This window comes from Homo sapiens, chromosome 2 (assembly GCF_000001405.40).
Source record: "Homo sapiens chromosome 2, GRCh38.p14 Primary Assembly".
NCBI lineage: Eukaryota > Metazoa > Chordata > Mammalia > Primates > Hominidae > Homo > Homo sapiens.
In genome coordinates this window covers 119,429,605-119,455,696 of record NC_000002.12, presented here as the reverse complement: position 1 = coordinate 119,455,696, position 26,092 = coordinate 119,429,605, and the positions used below count along the sequence as shown (strand labels likewise).

Below are 26,092 nucleotides of genomic sequence, written 5' to 3'. Positions count from 1 at the left end.
CTTTTCATTCCACTGTTGTTTATTCTGCTGAGAGATTCCTAGTCTTTATCTTCCAACCCGTCTATTGCGTGTTTAATTGTGGTTATCATATGCTCCGTTCCTAAGCCCCCTTTCTTGTTCTCCGGGCACTCCCTGTTGACAGCATCCTGTTTGTGTCTTGTAGATACGACCTTTTATCTCTCCGATGGCGTTCCTTAGAGTTGTTTTGTTCCAAGTTCCTTCTGCTTCCTGTATGGTCTGTTTCCTCTGAGTTCCTTTTCTCTGATTGTTTTGGTCTGTGTCTTTTATGTAATAAGATGTTGGTGACCTTGGCTGTCTGTTCCTATTTAAGAATGAATCACTTCAGAGCCGGCTAATGGCTGTTGGGGGTGTGGGGTTTGTCTCTCAAGGGACACTGGACTGGAAGTGTTGGGGGGTCCCCCCATGGCTATCTATAGGCTCTTTGTCTGGGGCTGTTCAGTTCCTCTAGAGAATCCTTTCATCTCCAGCGTGCAGTGGCAGGGAGGTGGGCAGAGGGTAGAGGGCTGGGGTAGGGGTAGAAGCCCATTCAGTAGAGGCCTGAAAACTGAGCGGCCCGGGGACCAGGGCTTTTACCATTCAGCTTGAGCACGTCCACTAGAAATAGAATCTGATTTAAGTATTTCTGCTTAAAAAAAAAAGAATCTGAGCCATACATCTAGCTTAAAATTTTCTAGTAGCCACAATCAACACAGTAAAATGAAACAGGCAGTATTTGTTTCAACAATCTATTCTGTTCAACCCAAGGTGACCAAAATAGTATCATTTCAATGTATAATCAATATAAAAATTGGTAATGACATATTTTACATTTTTTTTTTTTTGAGATGGAGTTCCTCTCTTGTCACCCAGGCTGGAGCGCAGTGGCGCAATCTTGACTCACTGCAACCTCCGCCTCCCGGGTTCAAGCTATTCTCCCACCTCAGCCTCCCGAGTAGCTGGGATTACAGGCATGCACCACCATGCCTGGCTAGTTTTTGTTTTTTTAATAGAGACAGGGTTTTGCCATGTTGGCCAGGCTGGTCTCGAACTCCTGACCTCGGGTGATCCACCTGCCTCAGCCTCCCAAAGTGCTGAGATTACAGGCATGAACCACCGCGTCTGGCCATGTTTTACGTCCTTTTATTTGTACCAAGTCTTCAAAATATGGTATCTATCTTGCACTTAGTGCCCAACTCAGTAGGGACCAGCCACATACCAGGTGCTCAAGAGCCACCTTGAGCGCTGGTGTAGACTGTCACTCCATTCCTGCTCAGCTGAGCAACCCCTCCAACCCTCTGCTGGGCTGCAGCCCTGTTCTCCTTGGTTCAGTAATTCCAGAGAATAAACTCTGTTGGAAGTTGACTATTCAGTCTGGTGAGGGTAGTGCTGGCCGCCTGGGGTGCTTATCTGTTTCTTATCCAGACTTCAAACCATCCTCCTGCCCCAGCCCCACTCTGCCGCCTGCCTCCTGGGTACCGGGTGCCCTGGCCCTAGAGCATCCTTGGGCACTTCCCCAGCGGCATTGCCCCAGACAGCACTTCTGTTTCAGCTTCCTCTGCTCGGGACATCAGCTGCCACTCCTCTGGCAGGCTTCTGTGTGCCTAAGCGTGTTGCCGTCTCTCCTCTACTCTGCCCTTCCTTCTCAGTCTTTGTCCTTACGGGCTTTTACCATTTCTATTTCTTTATTATCATTTTAGAGGGGCTTCAGGGGAAGTAGGGATAAATGTATAAGTTCAGTTTGCCACGTTTAACTAGAAGTCAGGAAATGTTATTGTATTTTCTCTTCTAAATTCTTGTGGACTTGATCTCATCTCTAGTCCAAATTATATTTTTGTTTAAACATGACAGTGATGGCTTACCTTAGCTGTTAAATGGCCAAGCTTTTTACAAACCAATATTTGAATAAAATCAACGTTTCTTTCATGACCTGTGTCCACCCCTTCTCCACTTCCTCCTCCCCGCTGCACGTGGCCAGGCAGATCACAGTATGAGAAGGGGGCTCTCCAGCTGCCTCCATGTGTCCACGAGCCTGCCCAGGAGTCCCAGCCCCTCTATACTTTGCAGTGGTCCTCTGGAGTCTGGCCTGGGTTCCCAGGAGACCCCTAACACCAAGTGGCCTTTGGGATCCTTCTGATTCTGCCATAGTCCCCAGGGCATGCCCGGCACCCTTGAGGCACATGGTGCCACATTCACACAAGATGGCACAAGATGGCAGAGGGGTTTCTGTGGAAACCAAATCTTGGCACCTGCTCAGTAGCTGGGCTGGGGTAACCAATTGTCCTGTTCTGATATGTGTGTTGAAAATTGAGTCCTCTCTCTTCTGCCCCTCCCTTTGTTTTTAATCCTCAGGTTCTCCAGCCATTTTTGTTGCTTTGTGGGCTATTGCCAGACACTTTCTGGAAGATGTTGGGTAAGCTAACGGAAGGAGGATAACAAGAATGTATCTGACATCGTCCAGCTTTTCAAACAGCATAGTTACTTCTTTGGAGCTATCTAGGAAAGGCCTTTTTCTCAAAGTAGAGGCCACAGATGAGTTCCCTGGACTGATGCTCACTGCTTCCCAGGTGTGTTTCCAGGTGGGCCGAGCAGCCTTGGCCATGCCTGCACTGTCCTGGCCTTCCTGTCTTCTTGCTGCCTGTCCGCTCTGCATGTGGGTCAGATGCCAGACAAGAGCTACGGGGCTCCAGGCAGGTGTTGCTCCATGGAAGAAACTCAAGGAAGGGCCAGTCCAGCTTTTTCTTCCTCCTGGGATCTCCCTCCTGGATGCCTCTCTACCCCTGGGTGTTTAGGAGCCCTGCAGAGCCAGACTCTAAAGAAGTCAGGCATTGAGGGTGGCAGTGAGCCCAGGGGACGCACCTGGGAGTAGGTACATGGGAAGCAAGCTTAAAAGAAGCTGGGGAAGAGGAGAGGCAGCAGGGCAGCAGCGAGGCAGCGGGGCAGCATGGGAGTTGATTTCTCAGGGGCATAATGACACAACCAGGCCAATAAGTGGATGAGGTCAAATGAGACATCCAAGTGTCTATAGTCCAAATTTAGCCCGAAATAATTGCTTCAAAGTAATTTTTGTATTGGGTGAATTCACTTTTTCAAAAAATCTGGATTTTCAGCTTGTCTAGAAAAAAATGGAGAGGTCCTTTAACACGTTCCATTTTTCCTTGTGGCAAAAATAAGCTGGAGCAGAGCTGCGGCTGTCTTGGACAGGGCACATGCTCCCCAGTTTGCTCAGTACCCTCCAGGCCTGATGTCCCCAGATCCTGAGGTCACATGTCAGCCATCCACCACTTCTCTTACTGATGTCATCTTCCTGGCTTCTGTTGGTAGCTGAGTTTGCCACCGTGCTCGCTGGTGAATTCTGACAGTAAGCTAACTTTTGGATCTGGGAGTCTCCCGGCTCTCAGGTTCTCGCAGGGAGACAGGTGGCCACTCCCTCAGCCCCAGCAGTGCTCCTGGGTGGCAGGAGGGGGTGTTCTAATGGTGCTGGGCACACCACTGCAGGGGCTCAGTGCCACAAACACAGGTCCTTCATACCAAGGGCCACCTCAGGGAACATGTCCTTGCTGGTTAGCCCAGCTCCCACAGCTCCTGCTCATAACCATGCCCAGCTGTCCCTCCCTTAGGTGCTGGGACATCAATGCCAACGCATCCATCTGGTGGATCATTCGTGGTCCTGTGATCCTCTCCATCCTGGTGAGTGGCCCTCCTCTCCCTAGCTGGGGATCAGTGGGAGAGACGGAAATGGTGACCAGCCCACAGGGGCAGAGGGTGGAAGGACAGGGCTCCCTGCAGGTGCCAGGAGGGATAAACCACAGTGTTTGTGAGGTTGGTGAGCAGCGTGGGGTGTGGAAGCTCTGCCCCCTGCAGAATGTGTGGGAGTGCAGTGAGGGGTAAGCTGGAGGCAAGAGCCTGCGAACCTGGTTCTTTCCCACAAGCAGCAGCTCAAGTGTGGTGAGCAGAGCTCCTTGTTCTAAACTGGCTGGCTCCCATTGGCCTGAAATTCCACCTTCACTGGTTCAGACCTGTGGGCCTTGAACATTTTTCTAGGGATTTGCTTGTTAACTTGGGATGAGTCGCTAAGCTGAGATCACTGAAGAGGGTGGGAGTGCAGATCGGGGAAGCTCAGTGGGGTCATGGTCTTGGGACTTTGCAGTGCTGCGAGTGGGCTCAGGCCTGGAGGGGCGGCCCCAGGGAAGAGATGCTGGGTGACCATCTTGGACAGGAGCTTGTGAGTGTCAACCCTGGTGGCCCTTTTGAATCACCTGGGAGCTTTTAGAAAATACTGATAGCTATTGATTCCATTTCTTTTTCTGGCAAGAGGCCTGGGTACTGGTCCCCAGGCGATTCTGCTCTGTGCCAGGGTAGAGTCCTGTAGCCCAGCCCATGGGTATGGTTCAGCATAGGGGGACAGAGGAGGGAAGGCACATGGGGACACACAGGAATCATCTCATGGATGGAAGCAGTCCCTTGGCTGGAAGTAACATCCACACGGACAGCCCAGGGATGCCCAAGGCTGCAGAACCAGTTGAAAGTGAGTGTCCTGTGCAGGCTCACCTGCGTGGGGTAGGGGGAGAGGGCACAGGACAGGGCCCCTTCTCTTCCAGTAGCTGCCTGGGTGGCATCTTGGGATTGGTTGAGAGGAGAGGACCATTCCATGACAACCTTCTTTTATTCTTTTTTAATTACATAATCTGAGCAAAAAATGCAAAATACAAAATGTTTGTTTTGGTTTTACTTTTTGAGACAGGGTCTCACTCTGTCACCCAGGCTGGAGCGCAGTGGCGCAACCCATGACTCACTGCAACCTCCACCTCCTGGGCTCAGGTGACCCTCTCACATCAGCCTCCCGAGTAGCTGGGACTAAAGGCTCCCACCACCACGCCTAGCTAATTTTTTGTAGAGATGAGCTTTCACTGTGTTGCCCAGGCTGGTCTTGAATTCCTGGACTCGAGTGATCTGCCTGCCTCAGCCTCCCAAAATGCTGAAATTGCAGGTGTGAACCACTGTGCCTGGCACAAAATGTATTTTTTAAAAAGGAAAAAAAAAATCATTCATCATTCTCCCAGCTACATATATGTTATGACCATGTGTTTTCCTTCCTCCTTCTTCTTTGAGCAGACATACTTTTCTTTTTCAAAATCCTTAATTAGGTTTTTTTTTTGTTTTTTTGTTTTTTGTTTTTCACTTAGCAATAGATGTGAGCTTTCCTGTTTCATGTGGAATTCCTTGATAAACTGATTTGCCATGGCTTCATAATATCATGCTGGAGGCTGTTTCCTCATTTAGTTAAGCAAGCCCGCTGTTATTCTGGGACTCGGAGAGCCCAGCCCAGGACAACCCTGGATGAAGGACGGCCAGCTCCAGTGTCCAGGGCTGGTTTCAGAGGGCTGTGGTTTATTCAGCAATTGAGGATGTTGGATGAGCACTCCTGATGCAAAATATCTCCCTACCAACCTAGCATGGGGCCTGGAATTCCACTATTTAAAAATGGACTCATTCTTGGGAACTTAAAGACTTTCTTTCTTTCCTTGTTTTCTGCTTGCTTGCTTGCTTCCTTGCTTCCTTCCTTCCTTCCTTTCCTTCCTTCCCTCCCTCCATTTATTTATTTATTTATTTATTTATTTTTCTTTCTTTCTTTCTTTTTCTTTCTTTTTTCTTTCTTCCTTCCTTCCTTCCTGCCTTCCTTCCCTCCCTCCCTCCCTCTTTCTTCCTTCCTTCCTTCCTTCCCTCCCTCCCTCCCTCCTTCCTTCCTTCCTTCTTTTTTTTGTCTTCAAGTGCTCCCTATTAAATTAAATACAACTCTAAGGCAAACAAAATTAAACTAAATAGCCTTAATGAGTTGATAGCATGCATAGCCAGCTTACAACAAGATGCATAAGCAAGTTGCAGAGAAGCAGGGTTCCCCGAAAAGCAGTGCTGGGCCAGGAGTCCTAGACAGCCACTAATCCTGTGTCTTTTGGCAAGCATTCCCAGGCCCCAGGCTGCTTGTGTGAACAATGCGGGTGTGAGGCTGGGTGATTCCACTGATCCCTGCTTCTATAAAATGGCTGGAGCAGGTGTGTGAGGGAGGGAGAGATGCTACCATGTGGGCAACTTCCTAATGTTGTTGGCACTGGGCACTGGGGTTGGGGGAGGGGACACCAAAATGAATAAAAAGACTGCGTTCCTGTCCTTCAGGAAGTTACAATTGAATTGGCAGATAACTAGGCACATACATGTTTGACAGACACATGCATTTGACCTTTTAAGATATTTTCTCTTCCAATCATAGTTCGCAAGAAAAAAAAAGATATTTTAAGTGCTCTTACACAGCAATATTATCCCTAAATACGGTGAATCAGGAAAGGGAAGTAATCAAGGGTGGCTTCTTGAAGCTGGCGATTGAGCTGCAAACTGGTCCTCACACCAGCAGCTTCAGCATCACCTGGGAGCTTGTTAAAAATAATTCTTGGGCCCCACGCCAGACTTACTGAACCATAACCTGTGGGGTTAGAGCCCAGCAATGGGTACCCTAAACTTTGAGAACCACTGCTGTAAAGGCTTTCAGCTTTGGCATTGTATTACCTGGGAGCTTGTTAGAAATGCAGAATCTCAGGTCCACCCCAAACCTGCATTTTAACAATATCCCCGGGGGCTTCCAATGCTCTGCACGGGTGAGTGATCTGCCTTGCAACTAAGCAGACCTTAGAGCTTCTGCAGCCCAGGGGCAGGAGGGAGTGCTGCCTCCAGCCATGGACTCTAGACAGTGTTTCACCAGGACTGGGGGTGGGGAGGGGATGGAGAGGAGCGGCAGCACTGGTGGGCCATCCTGGCTGTGGTGTCTGCAATGTCTTCTCTGCCCTCAGGTCCAGGGGACAGGGCCAGGAGAGGTGGCTGGAAAAGCAAGATGCCTTCAGCCCCACCTCTGCCTTGTGTTTTGCAGATTAATTTCATCCTTTTCATAAACATTCTAAGAATCCTGATGAGAAAACTTAGAACCCAAGAAACAAGAGGAAATGAAGTCAGCCATTATAAGTAAGTGAAGGGCAAAGACTGAGGCATGGTCAGTCAGCAAGCATTTACTGAGCACCTACTGTTTACTTAACTGGTGCTAGCTATTGGAGACGGAGGAAACGTTGTAGACCTAGTCGTAAGAAGTTTACCAGGTACATGGGGGCGGTTGCGGGGAATGGTCTGATTTTAGAGCCTCAGACACTGTATGGGGGTGGAAACACTAAGAAATCTCAGGCAGGAAGCCTGACGGCAGAGAGATCTTATCCTTGGGGCAAGGCTAGGGAGTCTCCACATGGGCTTCAAAGACTGAAATTCACACAAATGTGTGTAGGTACAGTATGTGTATTTTCAGAGGAGGATGACCTTCGGTTTCATCAGATTTTAGGGAAGTGCGTGATCCAAAAACACTTAAGACCTTTCAAATGTTAAAGAGAAATACGTTCGTTTTCTAGGGCTTCCATAACAAAATATCACAGACTAGGTGGCTTAAACAGCTGATATGTATTTTCTCAGAGTTCTGGAGGCTGAAAGTCCAAGATCAAGGTGTCGACAGGTTTGGTTTCTTCTGAAGCATTTCTTGCTGTGTCCTCACAGGGTCTTTGCTCTGTGTGTGGGCATCCCTGGTGTCCCTCTGTGTGTCCATATTTCCTCTTCTAAGGACACCAGTTGATTTGATTAGGCCCCACTCCATCCTTGTTGTAACTTAGCCTCCTCTTTCAAGACCTTTCTCCAAATGCAGTCACATTCTGAGATACTGGGGGCTAGGACTTCAGTGTAAAAATTTGGCAGTGGGTGTGGACATAATTCAGCCCATAAATTATATTAAAGACAAATTAGCATCCAGGCGCGGTGGCTCACACCAATAATCCCAGCACTTTGGGAGGCCAAGGTGGGCAGATCACTTGAGGTCAGGAGTTCGAGACCAGCCTGGTCAAGATGGTGAAACCTCGTCTTTGCTAAAAATACAAAAATTAGCCAGGCGTGGTGGAGGGCGCCTGTAATCTCAGCTACTCGGGAGGCTGAGATAGGAGAATCACTTGAACCTGGGAGGCAGAGGTTGCAGTGAGCCGCGATTGCGCCACTGCACTCCTGCCTGCACAACACAGCAAGACTCTGTCTCAAAAAGAAGAAAAAAACAAAACAAAAACAGGACAAATTAGTGTCCCCCAGAGACCTTCTCCATGGTGTTTCGTGTTTTGAGAATCTGACAGTGCCTCAGATTACTTGGTGTCAGATTCCTGGGGACCTGGGATAAAGTTGCCAGGTAAAATACAGGATGCCCAGTTACATTTGAATTTTGGATAAACAACAAATCGTTTTTCAATATTTATACCCCCACATGGTGTCCATTGTTTATCTGAAATTCAGATTTAACTGGGGATTCTGTATTTTTATTTGCTAAGTTTGGCAACCCTAATCTGGGAAGAAAATACAAGAATTTGTCCCTACAGATATTTATTATCTAGCAAATGAGAAAGCCGGCTTTGCTTGTATGATGTTAGACATAGAGCAGCAGTGATATAGGCACGTAATTTATAAATAAAGTTAATGGTGTAGGTACCGTTTTTTTTTCTTTTTACTGATGGAGGTGCATGATCAGAAAGTTTGGGGCTTTGCCATGAGTCAAAAATTGTTGTATCTGAGTGATGGATATGAGGGAGTTAGAAACTTTCAAAATAAAAAATGAAAACAAAAAAGTTTGGGGTACTGCTAGCCAGCCTCAGCAGTCAGTCCCGAGCTGGGGAGTGGCACAGCTGTGTGCCTACAGGAGGAGAAAGGGCGCAGGGAGGCAGAGTGGAGGCTACAGGCTTTCTGTGTCCCCAGGCGCCTGGCCAGGTCCACTCTCCTGCTGATCCCCCTCTTTGGCATCCACTACATCGTCTTCGCCTTCTCCCCAGAGGACGCTATGGAGATCCAGCTGTTTTTTGAACTAGCCCTTGGCTCATTCCAGGTAAGTTTCCAGGACTGGGGCTGCCAGCTGAAAAGAGGAGTTCTCTGTGTCCTTAGGGAGAAGTGGAGGGCATAGAGACTGCGAGCCAGATGCCTTATCTGGCAGAGACCCAGGGGAAGAAGGGGTCGGACCTGACAGTGCTACAGGTCCCTGAGTGGGATCCCTGGTCCCCACCAGTCAAATGGGGGTGGGAGATAAAACTAAGAGAGACAGAGAGACTGACTTCAGGGAAAATAAAAAGGAAAAGTAGCCCCAGTACACTATATTGTACAACTCTCAATAACATATACATGGTCAAAATAACGTAAGCGCGGATGGCCAAGTCATCAAACACTGGGGCGGGAAGATGAGCCTCGCGGGAGCGTGGGGCGGGTGTTTGGAAGAGAACACTGTCCTCATCTTCACACTGGGAAGTCCATAGAAAATGCCCTAGACTGAAAACTCCTCAAGTGGCGACACCAGCATATTTTTTAGAAGCAGTTAAGAGAGTTTCAAGGAGCAGTCGCATGTGAGGAAAAGGAAGTGAGGGTGGGGTGTCAGGAGGCTGCTGGTTCTGTAACAGGAATCCTTTGATTCTCTGAAACCATGTGCATATGCAAATTATTAAAACTAAAAACTGACTTTAAAAAATAAAGTGAGGTGGAAAAGCGCTTACCTACTAATTCCACAAGATGCTGTGAACTTAAAAACAACAACAGTAAACGTGTTTGGGCAGAGGGAGCCTGAACGTGAATCCCAAACTTCACAATGCCGTTTGTTTATTTACTCATAGCTATTTCCTTCCAAAAATAATGCAATGTCGCTTTTGGGAAAAACATACAAAGGACAAAAAATAAGTCGATGAAGGATCAGTGAAAAAAAGAATGTACAACTGGTTGGGTTGCTACACAGAAACAAATACGATAAAGTTCTATACAGGAGGGAGAGATGGGTCATAAGTATGATAGGGAGCTTCCCAGTAGCCAAAGCAAAGACAAAACAATTGTTTCAAAATTTCGCATATCCATAAGACAAAATCAAACTAACGGCCGGGAGAAGCCAGTGATTATAGGCTCTAGGCCTGAGACAAAATTCTCCCAGTAGTTTTTTTTAAAGGACTTAGTCCTTAACGACATTTCCACGGTAGGGCGATATTGTCCAGCCAAGCTTTCACTGGGGTGGCCTCGGCCTGCGAGCAGGGGTTCAAACCCTCCCCTCATCCCTAGAGCTCTGTTCAGGGTAGGGTCTTCCTGTTACTTACAGGTTCTAGGGAGGATGCCTCACTGGGGACACATCACTGAGTGGAGTCAGGTCTTGCCCTACCCATACCTTCAGACCACACCCTCCCCTAAGCTGGCCCTCTACCCAGTAACCCGTCAGTGCCCCAGACCTCCAGAGAACTCAGCCTCTGGCTTAATCCAGGATTCTTTTCCTCTCGGCCTGGGGGCCAGGGAGCTAGCTTTCCTCACCACTGCTCTTGTAACGTCCAGGGAGGCTGGGCACACAATGGCCCATCTAGCAGGTAGAGGATTTGAGGACCAGTCGGGTGGAAGGACTTGACCTGGCTCAGAAAAGGGACCATGCTGAGAGCTTGGACCCGGGTCTGCCTGGCCATGGATGGGGACTTCCTGTCCCTCAGAGTTGGGGCTAATGGTTGGGACTGTGGACTACTTCTCTAGGAAAATGTCTTGCCAAGAGAAAATCAAAAGCACTTTCCTGATGTTCTCATACGAATGTTGATGAAGAAAAAGGATCTTTTAAAGTTTTATACATATATATGTATATATATTCGTACGAATATATGTATATATATTCGTACGAATATATGTATATATATTCGTACGAATATATGTGTATATTCGTACGAATATATGTATATATATTCGTACGAATATATGTGTATATATATTCGTACGAATATATGTGTATATATATTCGTACGAATATATGTGTATATATATTCGTACGAATATATGTGTATATATATTCGTACGTATATATGTGTATATATATTCGTACGTATATATGTGTATATATATTCGTACGTATATATGTGTATATATATTCGTACGTATATATGTGTATATATATTCGTACGTATATATGTGTATATATATTCGTACGTATATATGTGTATATATATTCGTACGTATATATGTGTATATATATTCGTACGTATATATGTGTATATATATTCGTACGTATATATGTGTATATATATTCGTACGTATATATGTGTATATATATTCGTACGTATATATGTGTATATATATACGTACGTATATATGTGTATATATATACGTACGTATATATGTGTATATATATACGTACGTATATATATGTGTATATTCATACGTATATGGGTATATATATTCATACGTATATGTGTATATATATTCATACGTATATATGTGTATATATATTCATACGTATATATGTGTATATATATTCATACGTATATATGTGTATATATTCATACGTATATATGTGTATATATTCATATGTATATATGTATATATTCATATGTATATGTGTATATATTCATATGTATATGTGTATATATTCATATGTATATATACATATGTGTATATATTCATATGTATATATACATATGTGTATATATATATAAGAATATGTATATATATTCTTATATATACACACACATGAGAAAATGTTTTTCATATACAAAAGTGAAGAGAATAGGACAATGAACCCCATTACCTATCCCCAGCCTCAGCGGTATCCACTCATGGCCTGTTTGTTTCATCTCCATCCCTACCTACTACCCCCATCTTTTTAAGTAAATTCAAAACATCATGTTATTTCATCTTCAAAGAGTTTAGTGTGCATTTCTAAAAGACGGGGCTTAAAGAAGAACACATACAACTGTAATAACACCATCACTGTCATATACTCTTTAAAAATGTATTTATGGCCGGGCGCGGGGGCTCACGCCTGTAATCCTAGCACTTCGGGAGGCCGAGGCAGGCGAATTGCCTGAGCTCAGGAGTTCGAGACCAGCCTGGGCAACATGATGAAAGCCTGTCTCTACTAAAATACAAAAAATTACCCAGGCATGGTGGTGTGTGCCTGTAGTCCCAGTTACTCGGGAGGCTGAGGCAAGAGAATTGCTTGAACCTGGGAGGCAGAGGTTGCAGTGAGCCGAGATCGCGCCACTGCACTCCAGCCTGGGTGACAGAGCGAGACTCCGTCTCCAAAAAAAAATATGTATTCACTCTTTCTAATTGTATAAATAATGCTTGCTTATTGTGAATAATTTGGGAAATAAGGAAAAGTTTTTCAAAAAAAGAAAAATAATAAGAAAAAAATCTAGAACGTCATAACCCAGAAATAACTTCTGTTAAAGTGTTGGTGTGTTTACTTCCGTCTCTTTTCTTTCCACAAAGATACACACACATAATTGGGATCATGATGTGTATGGTTTTGTATCTTGCTTGTTTTGTTTAATTCTCTATCATGCCCATCATGAGCATTTCTTCATGTCATTAAAATTCTTCAAAGTCTTCATCCTTAATGATCGCAGAATCACGGTGGAAATTAGTAAACTTGCTGGCTTGTGTGAGGCCTGCCCTATATACACTGGAGCACAGCTAACTCCCTCCCCTGAACAGTGAAAATGTGTCCCTGGACCCTAGCGCAGCGGAGGCCAGGCAACCCTAGCCCATGCAACGGGCAGCATCCTTGGCCTGCTCGTGGCTCTGGGCCAAGCACACAGAGCTCCAGGCATGCCTAAACCCCTCCGTGCCTCAGTTCCCTCGCTTGTGAGGTGAAGATCCTCCCACCTGCCTCCGAGAGCTTTGGCGAGGTTAAATGAAGCACCTGGGACCTACAATTACTCAGGCCTAGCTGTGCTCCGATCCAAGTCTGTTTCATTTCAAAGCCTGCCTTGAAGTGCCTTTTACTCCCTCTCTGACAGTAGTTCCCGGACCATGATGCCCGTTTTTTGGAACTGTGTGGGGATCTTTAAAAGCTGCTGATGCCCCCAGCTACTGGGATCTGGGGAGTGCAACCTGGATAAAAGGTCCCAGGTGATTCTAATGTGCAGCAATACTTGGAAACCGATGCCCTGAGTGTTTCTGCCCCTCAAATAGTCCCCAGTCTATGTAGCAGTCATTGATACCTGAAATTCTAAAGCAAACCCTTCCAGCTTCGCCACTAACTCTTTTTAAAATGCCAATATCCCTGAGAAGTTGTACATATTAAGCCCACCATCGATGAGCTGATTCATCACCCTTCGAGGTTCCTTTCCAATATCATAAGTAGCTACAGGCAGGCCTGGGTGGGACTAGGGAGGAGGAGTTGGGCCATCTGAGGTCAGGCCTCTGTGTGGGGAGGGCAGGCCCGTAAGGGAGAGAAGGGTGGCCTGAGGTGGGTCCCTGAGAAAGGAGAGGAGCAGGGTGAATGCGCCGCAGAGACACTGCTTCCTGCTGATCTGGAGGCCTCTTAGGCTCCAAGCAGGCGCCCCAGCCTGGAGTCCCTCCCCTGACAGAGCTCCACACCAGGATCCTGGGGGCACCATCAGGAAATCAGGAGCTCCAAATACCAGGGAGGGAGGGTCTTACAGGCACAGACCTTGCCACACCAGGGAACATAAAACTCTGAGCACGGAGGTGCACCCACCTGTCCATTAAGCAGGGAGCTCCAACCCTGCTCACCACTGGCTGGCCGGGACCTGTACATAGTTTGTTCTGCCTACACATTTGTTTTTCAATTTGAATTAGTTATCTACATTTAAACATATTCAGATTTCCAGTTTATCTTGAAATAAGACCACACAGGGCCCAGGGTCTCACCCTGGGCAGCCTGCACTCCTCCTGGCAGAGTGGGCGGACTTCAGGTGCCACCCATCCCTGTGGCTCCCAGGTGAGCTTCCTGATCCCGGCTGGCTGGGTTAGCAGCCCCCCTGACACCATATGTGTTCAAAAGGGAGCCTACCCTTGGCTGCAAGGAGTTCACAGTTTATGCTGGATGAGCCAGCACAGCCAGGGCCACCGTGGGCAGCCCACAAGAGGTAGCCTAATTCCCAGTGAGGCAAGAGAGGTGGGGAAATGAGCCTGTAGCTGGTGATTAAGAGACCTGGGGAGGGTGCAGCTGGCCAGCTGGTTCAGGCCGCATGCTGAGCACCTGTGCTAACCCTGCTACCTCTCTTCTTCTGGCAGGGACTGGTGGTGGCCGTCCTCTACTGCTTCCTCAATGGGGAGGTGAGTAGTCTTGGGTCACCCAGGTACCCAGGAGAGCTCCTAGCCATTGGTTTCCGGGTCAGAAGGAGCTACCTGGGAGGGGTGGTAGGAAGGGGGATGGAAAGGGTCAGAGGGAGTCCTGGGTCTGGTGGCAGGTGGCTTGGCCAGTTCTTTTAGGAGTCTGAATTTGCTTAATGGGAGCAAGGCTTGTTCAAACCATGGCTGGACCCTGTTCCTAGTTTCTCATTCCACAGAAATAAATTCTGTAGGTCTGGACTGGGGTCTGAGAAAGTGTTTTTTAACAAGCATTCCTGGTGCCGATGTTGATCTGTTCAGCAAATGCAGGAGGAAAGTTGGGCAGAACCCAGGTTCCTGACTGCCCTGCTGCTTGCTTAATGGGCGATCTCAGTCACTGCCCTGTTCTGGGCCTCAGTCTGCCCATATGTGAAACGGGTGACTCAGAACTGTCTGCAGCTCAATCCTTAGGGACCTCCAGATGAGCACTGACTCCTTGGGAGACTGCACACTCACTTTGAGGACTCGAGCCTCACATGGAGCATCTGGGTCAGGACCCCAGGCTCTGGGCATACAGAGCTATGTGGTTAACATGAGCTAAGGCTTTCTGTGACTACTGACCATCTATCTGGTTTGTTGCACTTGAATGGGAGTGATCTTTGATGTTTCCCAAAAATCAAATATCAAGCCTAGCTTCAAAGGTTCAGCTGCTGCAGCTGGGAATTGTGAAGGAAATTTACAAAGAGAAACTCCCTAGTTCCCAGATCAGTTCTGAGCTTGGGTGGCTTCCTGGGAATAAGTGGGGACCCATCTTAAATCACTTAAAATCACTGGGGACCCATCACTGAGTGGAGTCAGGCCTTGCCCTACCCACACCTTCAGACCACACCCTCCTCTAAGCTGGCCCTCTGCCCAGTAGCCCCTGTCAGTGCCCCAGACCTTCAGAGAACTCAGCCTCTGGCTTAATCCGGGATTCTTTTCCTCTCAGCCTGGGGGCCAGGGAGCTAGCTTTCCCCACCACTGCTCTTGTAATGTCAAGGGCACACACTTGTCCCAAGGTGCACAAGTCCTTTCTTTAAGACACGATGTAATGAGATTGCAGGTGCATGTGCCCAGGAGAGAGGGGACCCTCAGTAGCTACTGGACATTGGGGCTGGAAACAGTCAATCTGCGTGGCCTGCAGGCTAGGGGACAGGGCAGCTGGGCAGGAGTGGCAGGGCCTGCGTGGAGTCACTGGGGGAGTGAGCAGGGCTCCAGGCACAGAACTGTCCTCTCCTCCTGGGCTGATGGCTGGTCTCCCGGGCAGGTGCAGCTGGAGGTTCAGAAGAAGTGGCAGCAATGGCACCTCCGTGAGTTCCCACTGCACCCCGTGGCCTCCTTCAGCAACAGCACCAAGGCCAGCCACTTGGAGCAGAGCCAGGGCACCTGCAGGACCAGCATCATCTGAGAGGCTGGAGCAGGGTCACCCACGGACAGAGACCAAGAGAGGTCCTGCGAAGGCTGGGCACTGCTGTGGGACAGCCAGTCTTCCCAGCAGACACCCTGTGTCCTCCTTCAGCTGAAGATGCCCCTCCCCAGGCCTTGGACTCTTCCGAAGGGATGTGAGGCACTGTGGGGCAGGACAAGGGCCTGGGATTTGGTTCGTTTGCTCTTCTGGGAAGAGAAGTTCAGGGGTCCCAGAAAGGGACAGGGAAATAAATGGTGCCTGGGATGAGATTCAATCTATATTTGTCCATCCTTTTGCCTTGACACAAGGTGAGGGTGTACGCTCTTGCCTGCTCCCAATGCCTTCCCGCAGGAGGCGGGCTCCTCCCTGGTCCCCCAGCTCAGTTACTCAGGGACCAGATTAGAAGGCCCAGCCAACATGAAATGTTTGCCCTTGGCGGATGCTGTCTGTCTCCTACTGTAACTCACCTGGTTAGCAGCTCTCACCCAAACCTTCAGGACAACAGCTAAAATAATATGATAAAGTCACCACGGAGGCCAGGGAAGCCCCAGGGCCCCCAGTCCCTTTTACTATCCCCCCTTTTACTACCCCCAACAGGGTGTGAGGGGGACACCCCTATTTTTCCTGCTCTTCCACACAGATGTCCTCGGCCTGAGGCAGACACAGCAGGAAATGGGGCATGATCCCATTTCAGAGAAGACAGGTCCACCAAAGCCCTGTGACTTGCCCAAGCTACTAAGCAAAGAGGTGGCGGAAGTTCAGTCCAGGGCCTTTGACTTCAAATGCCCATGCTCCAAGGCTGTGTCTGTGCTCTCCCTGCTCCCAGGCAGGGAAGGACAGGGGCCATCTGCTGCCCCTCTAAGCTCCTGGGGACTTCAGTCTCACCCTCCACTCTCGTTCTTGGTTCCTTTGAATATCTGCACTCCCTGCCCCCATGTGAGGATGAAAAAGGACTCCATTTTTGAACGCTTCTGCAAAACCAAACCTACTAGTGCTCAGGGGGTAGCGTTCTGGAGGGAAGTAGAGAAACTCCCCTCCGTGTCAAGGAAAAGGCATCCTGCTGGTGGGTGGGTCAGCTCTACTCCCAGCTTTGGGTGACCCTGGACAAGTGCATCCCTCTCTGGGCCCTGACTCCCCACCTCCATACATCCCCTCCCCGTGAAGAAACCAGGGGGTTACACATCCCCTTTGCAACTTGTAGATTGCTCCAGGTTCCCATTTCCCAGGCTAAGATGCCGCCAGTGTGGTTGATGAGCTCTGTACTCTGTAAAACTGAGCAATTCATGGAAACCTTTCCAGGATGATCTCCATGGACTCTGGGCACCTTGGTGGTTCAACCTTAAAGCCCATGGCCTTATATCCTACAAAGCAGACAGCTTCATGACTCCATGCATCCTGGAATAAAAAATTTAAAACATCACAATAGACGTAGGTATAGGCACTCAGCCCAGACCAGGAAAGGAACCTGCAGCAGTGACAAGACCGGGGCAGAGACCAAAAACCCATGCAATTGCTGGGAGCCAGAATTCAACAGGTGAGGGAATGGGAAGGAGTCAGTGTAGAATGAAATGGGCTGAGGGCAATAACATCACCTACTTCTGGGCAGAAAAAGGACTAGAAAGGGAGCACTTTAATGAACAGAAGTACAGACGTGCTGGCAAGGATGGAAATCTCCACTGGTTCCTGGCCCCCTTCACCTCCATGCATCCCCAGCATGGGTGTTAATCATTACCCAAGCTCTCGCTGTTCCCCCTCACCCCCTGCAGAGTCCAGCAGGTCTAGATACGTGCTCTTTGAAATGTGTTCTGGGATTAAAAATGGTGCCCTGAGGCTGTCTAACCCTCACAAAAGACAGACACATGCACACACGGGCCTTGGGGAGGGCTGTGTATTAGCAGTCAGGTGGGCCCTCCTGGGAGAGCTTGCTCAAGAACTCTTCTCGGAAGGAAACCCACCTTAAGGTAGGGTTCTGATAGGCAGAGCTCCCAGAGGCACAGCCAGCTGCTAGAAGATGGGGTTATCCAGGGTTTGTAAGGTTTAAACAACGGGCAGGGAGGCAAACCGAGTCAAATGGTTTGGAAACCTACTGTGTGCAGGGCATTCTGAGGGAATCCTGAACTCTGCCTCTTTGGCATGACCAAAGCTGAAGCCAGGGACATACATACGAAGGCCCTTTGAGCTGGTGGAAGAAAGTCCTAGGCACTGATTGGACCCTTAGCTGGAAGAATGATCCATTCTTAACAACCCTGGGAGCCCCAGGGATTCTGCAGCCCCTATCCCAGCACGTGTCAATGAAACAGGCATGAACTATCCTTGGCTGTGCAGCTAGCTCAGGTACCAGTTACCCCTGTGCTTCCAACTGTATTCCAGTCCAGGGAAGAAAATTCAAGAAGGAGTTTTAAAATGTTTTTTTCTTCCTCTAAAATCAACATCTGGCTAAGCCTGTGCAGTTGGTGGCACTGAGGCACCCTCCTGGCCTCTGGCCCTGCAGACCAGGTGCAGAGGCCCCCGGGCCATTTCTGGCTGACCACCCACAAGTTATCGGCAAACAGGCAGCCGTTTCAAGGCCCTTGTCCAACCCAGCCCCACCAGAGGCCACATGCTGGAAAAGTCCCATTTTGACCATATTTTCTTGTGGAATCTGATGTCCCTGGAGGGGGCCTAAAATTTCCACGGTCATTCCCAGGGATGGGTGATGCTGTTGATGTGAAGGCCGCTGATGGCGTTCAGGAAGAGGAGGAAGGAGGCAGTGAATTCGCACCAAAACATTAGGGTGAAGCCGATGAGTGTGACTTGGTTCCTGAGGAGGATCACAAAACCCAGGAGCCCGCCGGAGGAGAGGACGAAAGACACCAGGAGGAGGATGGAACCCATGACCCACTTGCACTGTGAGTGTTTGTCCTCGCACAACTGGGACACCATGAGGAACTCCAGGCCAAAAATGGCGGCCACCACGGCCAAGGCGCCCACGCTGCGTACCAGGCCCATGCCCACGGCCAGCCCGGGCACATGGGCCTGGCCCAGGTCTCTGAAGCAGATCGTCTGGTTGGTGGTGGTGCAGAAGTGCCAGAGCCCGAAGAGGCGGTCCTCAGCCAGGAGCCAGTGCCCATCACAAATGGAGACCGAGGACAGGACCACAGCCAGGGCCACACACGTGATGATGAGGGTCCGGATGAAGGATTCAAAGAAGGACCGGCGGGGCTGCCTTTGGCCCAAAGGCCTCTGGGCCTGGAAAAAACCGTAGGAAGCACCCTGTCAGCCACAGCCCTGCCACGCCCCCAGGAACCTCTGCAGGGAAGACCCCTGAGCCCTCCATCCTGCTCCGCACTGTCTTATTCTCTGCTTGGTCTCCTGTGAAGCCCGGAACAGACCAGACCCACCGTTTGGGGGGAACCCTTCCTCCCTTCCAGACCTGTGAGCATTTACCATCCAGTATTCACCAGGCACTAAGAGCTTCCTGACCTTTCTTTCTTTTGTGATCTTCAGAGTGGGTGAGAAGTCCAAACCGACTGGCAAATCTGAGTCAGTTCTGAGTTCAGAAAACCTGTCGTGCCTGCATCCCATGACCTTGAGCATGCAGCCTGCCTCGGTTTCTTTGTACATAAAACAAGAATACGGCCTGGCAGAGTTGCCAGGGTTGTACCAAGCACTGAGACATTAGCACACCAATACACAGTTCTGTTTCCCTCCATCTCCCCAGGATACACGATTTTGTCCTAATCCCCACCCACCTGATGATTCGGGAGCTGTCCACGTTCAGCCCAGGACTCTAGATTATTGCCTCGTTTTTCTTGGTACTGAAAGTGACATTTGCATCTTGCCCTCAGACCTGTGCGGCCTGTACCCTACCCAGAGCTTGCCAACCCCATTGTCTGCTCCTGCAGCTTCTGGGCATGGGAAGGCCATTGCAGCTCTCCTCCACTTCCGGTTCAGCCCTGGAAGGAGGCGCCCCCACCCCGGTCTCCTGGCAAGCCAGGCTAGGTGTCCAGTGAGGTGTCTCATCTCACAGTTCAAGGACACCACCCGGGCACTGCACCCAAGCCCTGACCCAGAAAGCAAAAGAAAGACTTCAGGAACTCTTTACACAGCCCACAAGCCTCTCACAATCCGCTCCGCCTCCCCACCCAACCTCAGCTCCCAGCACACTCCCCTCTCCCCATGTCTAGAACTTTCTTTCCTCAGATGACTGGCCCTTAAGCCTGTAGTGGCTCTTCTGCAGCTCCTGCCACCCCTCCAGGACAACACCTCTTCTCCATTCTTCATGTCTCAGCTTAAAGTCTCCTCCACAGAGAGTGCTTTCCTGCCCACTCAACCCAGAGTCAGGCCCCTCCTGGTATTCTGTGTCAGGCACCTGTTCAAATTCTTCACCATTCTGAGGACAGTTTGTAGTTACATATTATTTCTGTCTCATTCCAACACTGTGTGCTCTGGGAAGGCCGCCCCCTACCCCCACACCACCACATTCTGTGTTTAGGCACTGCTGTGTCCCCAATACCTGGGCATTCAGTGGGTGCTCAAGGGAGAGCTGTGAGATAAGTCAAAGGTCATTGGCAACCACTGTCACTTCCGTCTGAAGCTCCTTTAAACTGAGTCTCCTGCACAGTCATACATTAAATGACCTGCTTTGCAGTGTGTCTAGAAGCTGCCCAGGTTACACCTCGGTTTGGGAGGTATGCAAAACAGGCACGCATGACGGTCACTGCTAGGACCCAGGAGAATGGAGCAGTGAGGAACATGGGGTGTGTCCTATGCCATGGGCAAATGGAGGCTTCCTGAGGCAGGTCTGGGCCACTCCTCTCTGTGTGAGACATAAAATAAAGCCCTGCTTCTGGGAGACTCCTGTGGTCAAAGAGCCCAGCAAGAGTATCTGCTCACATGCCCCAGACACAGGAGCTACCGCTAATTTCAACCCCAGGGATACAGGAATAAGGATGCAGTTTGCTTTCAGCACCTCTGCCTTAAGTAGGATCCTATTTTATTCTTAAACCTATGAGGTTGATAAAGTAGGAAGCTCCATGGTGGGTGTACAGAGAAGGAAACTATGCAGAGGGCAGGTGACTTGCCTGAGATCACTCACCTAAAGCACAATGAAGCTCTTTATGGCTGCCCAGACAATTGTATGATATGCAGGAGGTGGAATCCGTTCAGCGAATAAATACTGACTAGGGCCTTCTAAGGACAGGGCCTTTGTGCTAGGGGCTCAGTACTGAGCCCTTACAGCCCTCCCTACATGGGCTGTAAGCTCCTGGATGGGAGGGACCGCACTTGGTCTGTCCCAGCACGCTGCCTGGCCAGGATTCCAGACATGTCCCAGAACAAAGGGGAGGAATTCCCTGTGCCCCATGCCCTCTTGGTGAGGAAAAGGTGCGTGCAGAGGGATGCCTCAAGGGCCATGCCAGAGCTAGGACCAGCCTGGGTCCTAGCTGAGATGAAGGCAGCCTGGGTGCGGTCAAAAACATGGAGCTAAGAGTATGGGCTGTGGTTCTCAAACTGTGTCCCCATGCTCCTGGTGGGGCTTCCAGTGCTGAAGCCGGGTGGGCAGGGAAGCTGAGCAGGCTGGCTCTGCATCCCCTTCCTCACTTCAACTGAGCCCTGTACCTGCTTGGGACATTGGGGGTCCAGGAGTCTGTATTGCATTTTATTACAAAAAAAAAAAAAATCTACCGGTAAGAAAGAAACCAAAGGAAACTTTGAAAACCTGTGTCTACTCCACAAACCATTAGAGGTGTTTGTCCTTGGGCAGTTTCTTAACTTCCTGAGCCCTTGTTTCCTCATCTAGAAAATGAAGTTAATGACACTTGCAGGAAAGTCGTAGCCATGAAGGCACCTGGCAAGGTTACAAGGTCCCTAGAGAATGATAAATGGTCCTAAAAAGGAGGAGCACCACAGGCAGAGAACAAATCACAGGACCCAGAAACCTTTTAACCCGAGACAGCATGCTGGCTGGAAAACAGGCACGTCCTGTCCCTTCTCCAGCCCTACCTGTCCTAGGCAGACTGGACTTTAATCTCCAGGCCCTTAGATGTCACGTCAGGATCAGAAAGTGGAGACAGCTGACCTCATCTAGTTTCCTCCCGCTCCTGCCCCAAAGTAGGGCTTCATTTAAACTCTCTGGCCACCACTGAAACTCCCAGGAATCAAATGAGATCCTGTATATAAAGATGCATGGTACACGGGCCGCTCCCAACTCATGGTAGCTATTAATATTAATAACAATAATAACACATATAGAGTCTTCATTCCTAACCACCCGGCATCTCCACCAGCTTTCAGTGATGCAGGGCCTGAAACGGCTACTGGAGGGCAGCTGGACAAGTGTGCAGTGGAAAAGAAGGGAGCGGGGAGGTCAAGTCCTGCCCCTGACCTAGAGGACCCCTGCAGGGTACCTTTAGGCAATCACTTAAATCTCTCTGGAGCTTAACTGCTCTGCTAAAAATGTAAGCATTTTCCTTTTTCATCTGTAACCTTGCATGATTTCTAGTGACCTATAGAATAGGGTCACTTGACACTACTGGGCTACTGAGTCCAATGTCATGGTCTTCCTCCTATAACCCAGGGCCTCATGTGTTCCCCTTAACCAAAGCACCCCCAGGTAGACAAATTAAGCTCCTCCCAACTCATTCCGCACATCCCCAACATGTCTCCCATATTTGCTCCCCCTCATCACCCACTCTGCCCCTACCCAGGTGAGGCCATCACCATCGTCAACATCCTGGAAGTTCACAGCCTCCTGATGAGCCGGCCTGCCTCTGCTCCTCTCAGCTGCAGCCTGGCCCACCGCTGCCTGCATGACCCAGAACTTGCTTCCTACCTGTGTTTGCCCCCTGGCAAGTCATGGTTGTGGGGATGAAGAGTTATCATCCCGAAGCGGCCGGAGCACCCGCCCTTCACCTGGAGCCTGTGGCCTCCCCAGCTGAGCTCCCACCTTGCTACCAGGCTTCCTCCTCTTCCCCGTCTGGCAACTTTTGCACCTCTTAATTTAGCATTCGCTCCCCCATGCCCTGTTTCCAAGTCTCTCTCCCTACATGGGCTGTAAGCTCCTAGAGGGGAGGGACCGCACCTGGTCTGTCCCACCATGCTGCCTGGCCGGGATTCCAGACATCCCCCAGAACAAAGGGGAGGAATTCCCTGCGCCCCATGCCCGGCTTCGCCCAGGTGCCTAGGTCCTGGCTATAGAAGCGGTTTTGGGGGTGTCCTGTGGGTGGGGTTTCTCCCGTTAGGTAAAGGCAGGAGGAGCCAGTGGGATTTGGAGCCAGAAAGCCCTGGGTTTGAATCTTGATTCTGTTCCTTGGCCAGCCACGGAGGGCACCTTACTTCTGAGTCTCGGTTACCTCATCTATACAATGGGCAGAACGGTGTCTACTAGGTCAGTGTTGTGGCTGAGCGTTTGTACACGAAGTCAACGGGCCTCTCTAATCCTGGAGACAGTCCAGCGGATAGACTCTGCAGCGGGCGAGTTGCGCGGAAAGGAAGTTCGCCCGCTGGGCAGCGGTACCGCCACCCACTGACTTCCCTTTGGGGAGCAGCAGGCCCGAGGGAGCGGGTAGGAATGTGTAGGTTCTTAGCCAACATAAACATCGTGCACTACGCTAAGGAGAAGCCAAATCTTCGGAGACACGGGCTTCTTCCCTCGCCAGAGCCTTTCCCTGAGGTGTCCGCGCGACTCAGCAAGTCCACCCCCAGCCCAGCACCCCAAACGCAGCTTTGGGGAGGGAGACGGTCTTCCTAACCTCCACCCCCAGAAAGGTCTAACTTCCCAAGAGACGCATCCTCTGTTACATAAGCCTCACTTTGCAAGTCGATTCTGTCCCTCCACCCCAGACGCGCCTCATTTCTCACAAAGGGGGACCCTTATGGTAAACTGACCAGTAAGTCACTGGTGACACCAAAGAGAAGAAAAATCTTTCCAAATGAAGTTTGGGAGCCTCGGGTGCTTGCAAGGCCGCGAGCAGAAGCAGCCGGAGTCCGCGCCTCGGGAGCAGCTATGTGAGGCAGGCAGGCCCCCCGAGGTTGCTCCCCGCCCAGCCTCCTCCGGACCCAGGTTTGCAACAGGGGGCGGGCACGGGGGGCGCTCGCACCCCCAGCCCGACGCCGGCGCTCGCGGTGGGTACGCCCCTCCCTCCGTCCTCCCACCCCCAACCTCCCACGGCGGGGCAGCACCCCGGGTCAGCGCCCCGCCAGGCGCCGGCTACCTGCACGCCGACGGCAGTCATGCTGCGCCCGGCGGCCGCGCTGCAGCCTCGATCGCTCCAGCTGCTCCGCTGTGGCCGCCGGCGCCAGCCCGGGACTTCTCCGCAGGGGCGGGGCGGCTGCTGGAGGCGGGCGGGGCGGGAGGGGGCGTTCAAAGCTCGGCGATTAACCCCGGGCGGGCTCCGCCAACCCCGCCGCCCTCCGCGGCTCGGATTACGCTGAGTCAGCGAGGGCGGCCGGAGGAGCCCCTGGGGAGCCGCGGGGAGGACCCGGCACTTGGGGGGAGGGATCCCTCGGGTCCCAGGGGAAAGGATCGGGAAGTCACTCCGACGCTCCCGAACCTCCGAGGACAGCTTCGCCTGGGGCGCAGATTCCTCGAGGGCTGGGACGGCGACGAGGGCCTGAGGGTTCGATTCCTGTTCCAGCTTGCTGAGTCCAGCCTCTGGGAACGCGGCAGGGTCCGAAGGGAGGAGGCAGGCGCAGAGGCTCTGCTGCCCTCACTCTGCGGTGTGACCTTGGGCTGCTTGTTTAGCGTCTCGGAGCCTCGGTTAGTAAGGGAAATAATGAATGTGAAAGGTGGGGCTCTTGCCGGGCCCTCGCTGAGTGTGAACGGAGTGGAACTTTTTGGGGCAATCCTACTTGCGTCCCTAAAAGGGGATGTAAAACCCTGTTTCCTCCTGAACTCCTCAGGGACTATTAAAAATGCAAATATGCCAAACAAATGTGGTTATTTTTTCTCCACCTCGATGGGAACTGAGGTCTCTCTTTTTTTTTTTCTGGACGTTGTCTAGCGCTTGTGGCCCAGGCTGGAGTGCAATGACGCGATCACGGCTCACTGCAACCTTCGCCTCCTGGGTTCAAACCCGTTCAAGCGATTCTCCTGCCTCAGCCTCCCGAGTAGCTGGGATTACAAGCGCGCCCCATCAAGCCCTGCTAATTTTTGTATTTTTTAGCAGAGACGGGGGTTTCACCATTTTGGTCAGGCTGGTCTCGAACTCCTGACCTCAGGTGATCCACCGATCTCGGCCTTCCAAAGTGCTAGGATTACAGGCATGAGCCACCGCATCCGGCCGGATCTGAGTTCTTAAAGAGGCAGCACCTAAAAGCTTTTACCGCCAAAAAGGGTGGAGGTGGGAGGAGTGTCCAAGGGCCACAAATTCCAACAGAAAGGCTTCCCTCCCCCCATCCTCAAATGTGGTGGTAAAACAAGGCCCCTCACTAAATGGCACACATTAAATTGTCTGGTTCACTCAGGCAGGCAGCTCCTGGTGACTTTACCCAAAGACAAAGCAACTGCACTCATCTGTTTTCCCCTTTAGAGCCATGTGAGAAAGAGGGGTAGTTACAATTGTCTGTATATCTTCCACTTAGATATTCATCTGATTCCATCCCTGCCCAACAGACCTTGTCAAATCCTTTACCCCAGTCCTGGAGCTTGACAAACGGAGAAATGGCCCAGGCACAGGAAGGCTTGGCCCAGGCCACCCACATTGAGTCCACTGGAGAGCTGGGACTCCACTTACCCAGCAGGCCTAGTCCAGGTTTGAGTTCTTGCCACCATTCTGCACCAGAGTCACCTGGAAGGTTTGTTAAAACAGATTGCGAGGCCCCACTGCAGAGTTTCTGGCTGAGTGGCCTCAAGTGATGTTGGTGCTGCTGGCCTGGGGGCCAGGCTTTGAGAACCACTGAGCTAAGGCAAAGGGCAGCTGCCCAGGCTCAGCCAGCCTGGTGCCTCTCTGCTCTGGGGCCTTCCCTCCGTGGCCCCCACCTGCTTTCTCCCCAGTCAAGGGTCCCAGAAGCCAGACTCTCCGCAGCTCTGGGTTCTGGATAAAGAGCCCACATGGGAAAGGAAGACCTGTCCTGTTGCGGGGGTATCCTTTCACTGAGCCCTAAGAATGCCCTGTGGGCTCTCCCAGGTGAGATTCTGGATCATAGCATCTCACCTGGCCAAGAGGGAAGTGCCTGGAATTAAAATCAGAAGAACAGTCAGGTCGGGTCATCTGCACCCACTGCCTTCTCCAGTTTCGTGTGTGGTCAGGCATGTTTCTCACAGCCTGTTACGCTTTGTTGGTAAGAATAGAAAAGTATTGAATCAGTAGAATTTAGAGCAACATGTCTTGTCAGCAAGATAGTTGGAGAAGCAGAAATGACTTAAGAATAATAAGGAGGAAGTGACTATCCAGTTCTGATCATCTTATGCTCACATGAGGACTGGGAATATGGCCAGAATTTGGGTGGAATCTGAGCTGAGACTCTAAGACCTGGAGTCTCCTGGTACCTCTCTGGCTTAGGGGGTTGGGGTGGTGCGGGGAGTGGCAGCAT

The 26,092-nt window shown here is 50.5% G+C and overlaps 2 protein-coding genes across 18 annotated transcripts in view, besides 2 other annotated features; one reads left to right on the top strand and one right to left on the bottom strand.

The window, feature by feature from the left end:
* Positions 1–15,854, top strand: part of SCTR (secretin receptor) — an 84,641-nt gene extending 68,787 nt beyond the window's left edge. For 6 of the 13 annotated variants that reach the window (XM_047445401.1, XM_047445399.1, XM_017004670.2 and 3 more), the window contains 5 exons: positions 2,350–2,410; positions 3,603–3,687; positions 6,917–7,008; positions 8,812–8,938; positions 14,098–14,426. In XM_047445401.1, the coding sequence (XP_047301357.1) occupies positions 2,350–2,410; positions 3,603–3,687; positions 6,917–7,008; positions 8,812–8,938; positions 14,098–14,295 (563 nt within the window). In that variant the 3' untranslated portion in view covers positions 14,296–14,426. Of the gene's footprint in view, positions 1–2,349; positions 2,565–3,602; positions 3,688–4,147; positions 4,526–6,916; positions 7,009–8,811; positions 8,939–14,097; positions 14,427–15,439 lie in introns of those variants that run through there. The other 7 variants (NM_002980.3, XM_011511621.3, XM_047445400.1 and 4 more) reach the window with 7 other exon arrangements.
* Positions 17,193–25,802, bottom strand: TMEM37 (transmembrane protein 37). Of its 5 annotated transcripts, none has more exons than XM_011510659.3 (2): positions 25,714–25,802; positions 17,193–18,808 (listed from the first exon to the last, which is right to left on the bottom strand). In XM_011510659.3, the coding sequence occupies exons 1-2, from the start codon at positions 25,768–25,770 to the stop codon at positions 18,257–18,259; spliced, it is 609 nt and encodes a 202-aa protein (XP_011508961.1). In that variant the 5' UTR covers positions 25,771–25,802; the 3' UTR covers positions 17,193–18,256. The 5 variants fall into 5 exon arrangements, with proteins under 5 accessions (XP_011508961.1, XP_047299401.1, NP_899063.2 ...); XM_047443445.1 differs by lacking the exon at positions 25,714–25,802 and adding an exon at positions 24,112–24,487; NM_183240.3 differs by lacking the exon at positions 25,714–25,802 and adding an exon at positions 23,773–23,843.
* Positions 22,902–23,408: an enhancer, noted in NCBI's record as "H3K4me1 hESC enhancer chr2:120189865-120190371 (GRCh37/hg19 assembly coordinates)". NCBI's record gives its function as "activates a minimal SCP1, AML or CMV promoter by ChIP-STARR-seq in naive H9 embryonic stem cells {active_cell/tissue: H9 hESC(naive)}" and the evidence as "EXISTENCE:reporter gene assay evidence [ECO:0000049][PMID:30033119]".
* Positions 23,692–24,071: a silencer, noted in NCBI's record as "silent region_11905". NCBI's record gives its function as "represses an Ori minimal core promoter by ATAC-STARR-seq in GM12878 lymphoblastoid cells {active_cell/tissue: GM12878}" and the evidence as "EXISTENCE:reporter gene assay evidence [ECO:0000049][PMID:35858748]".
* Positions 25,803–26,092: the final 290 nt, after the last annotated feature.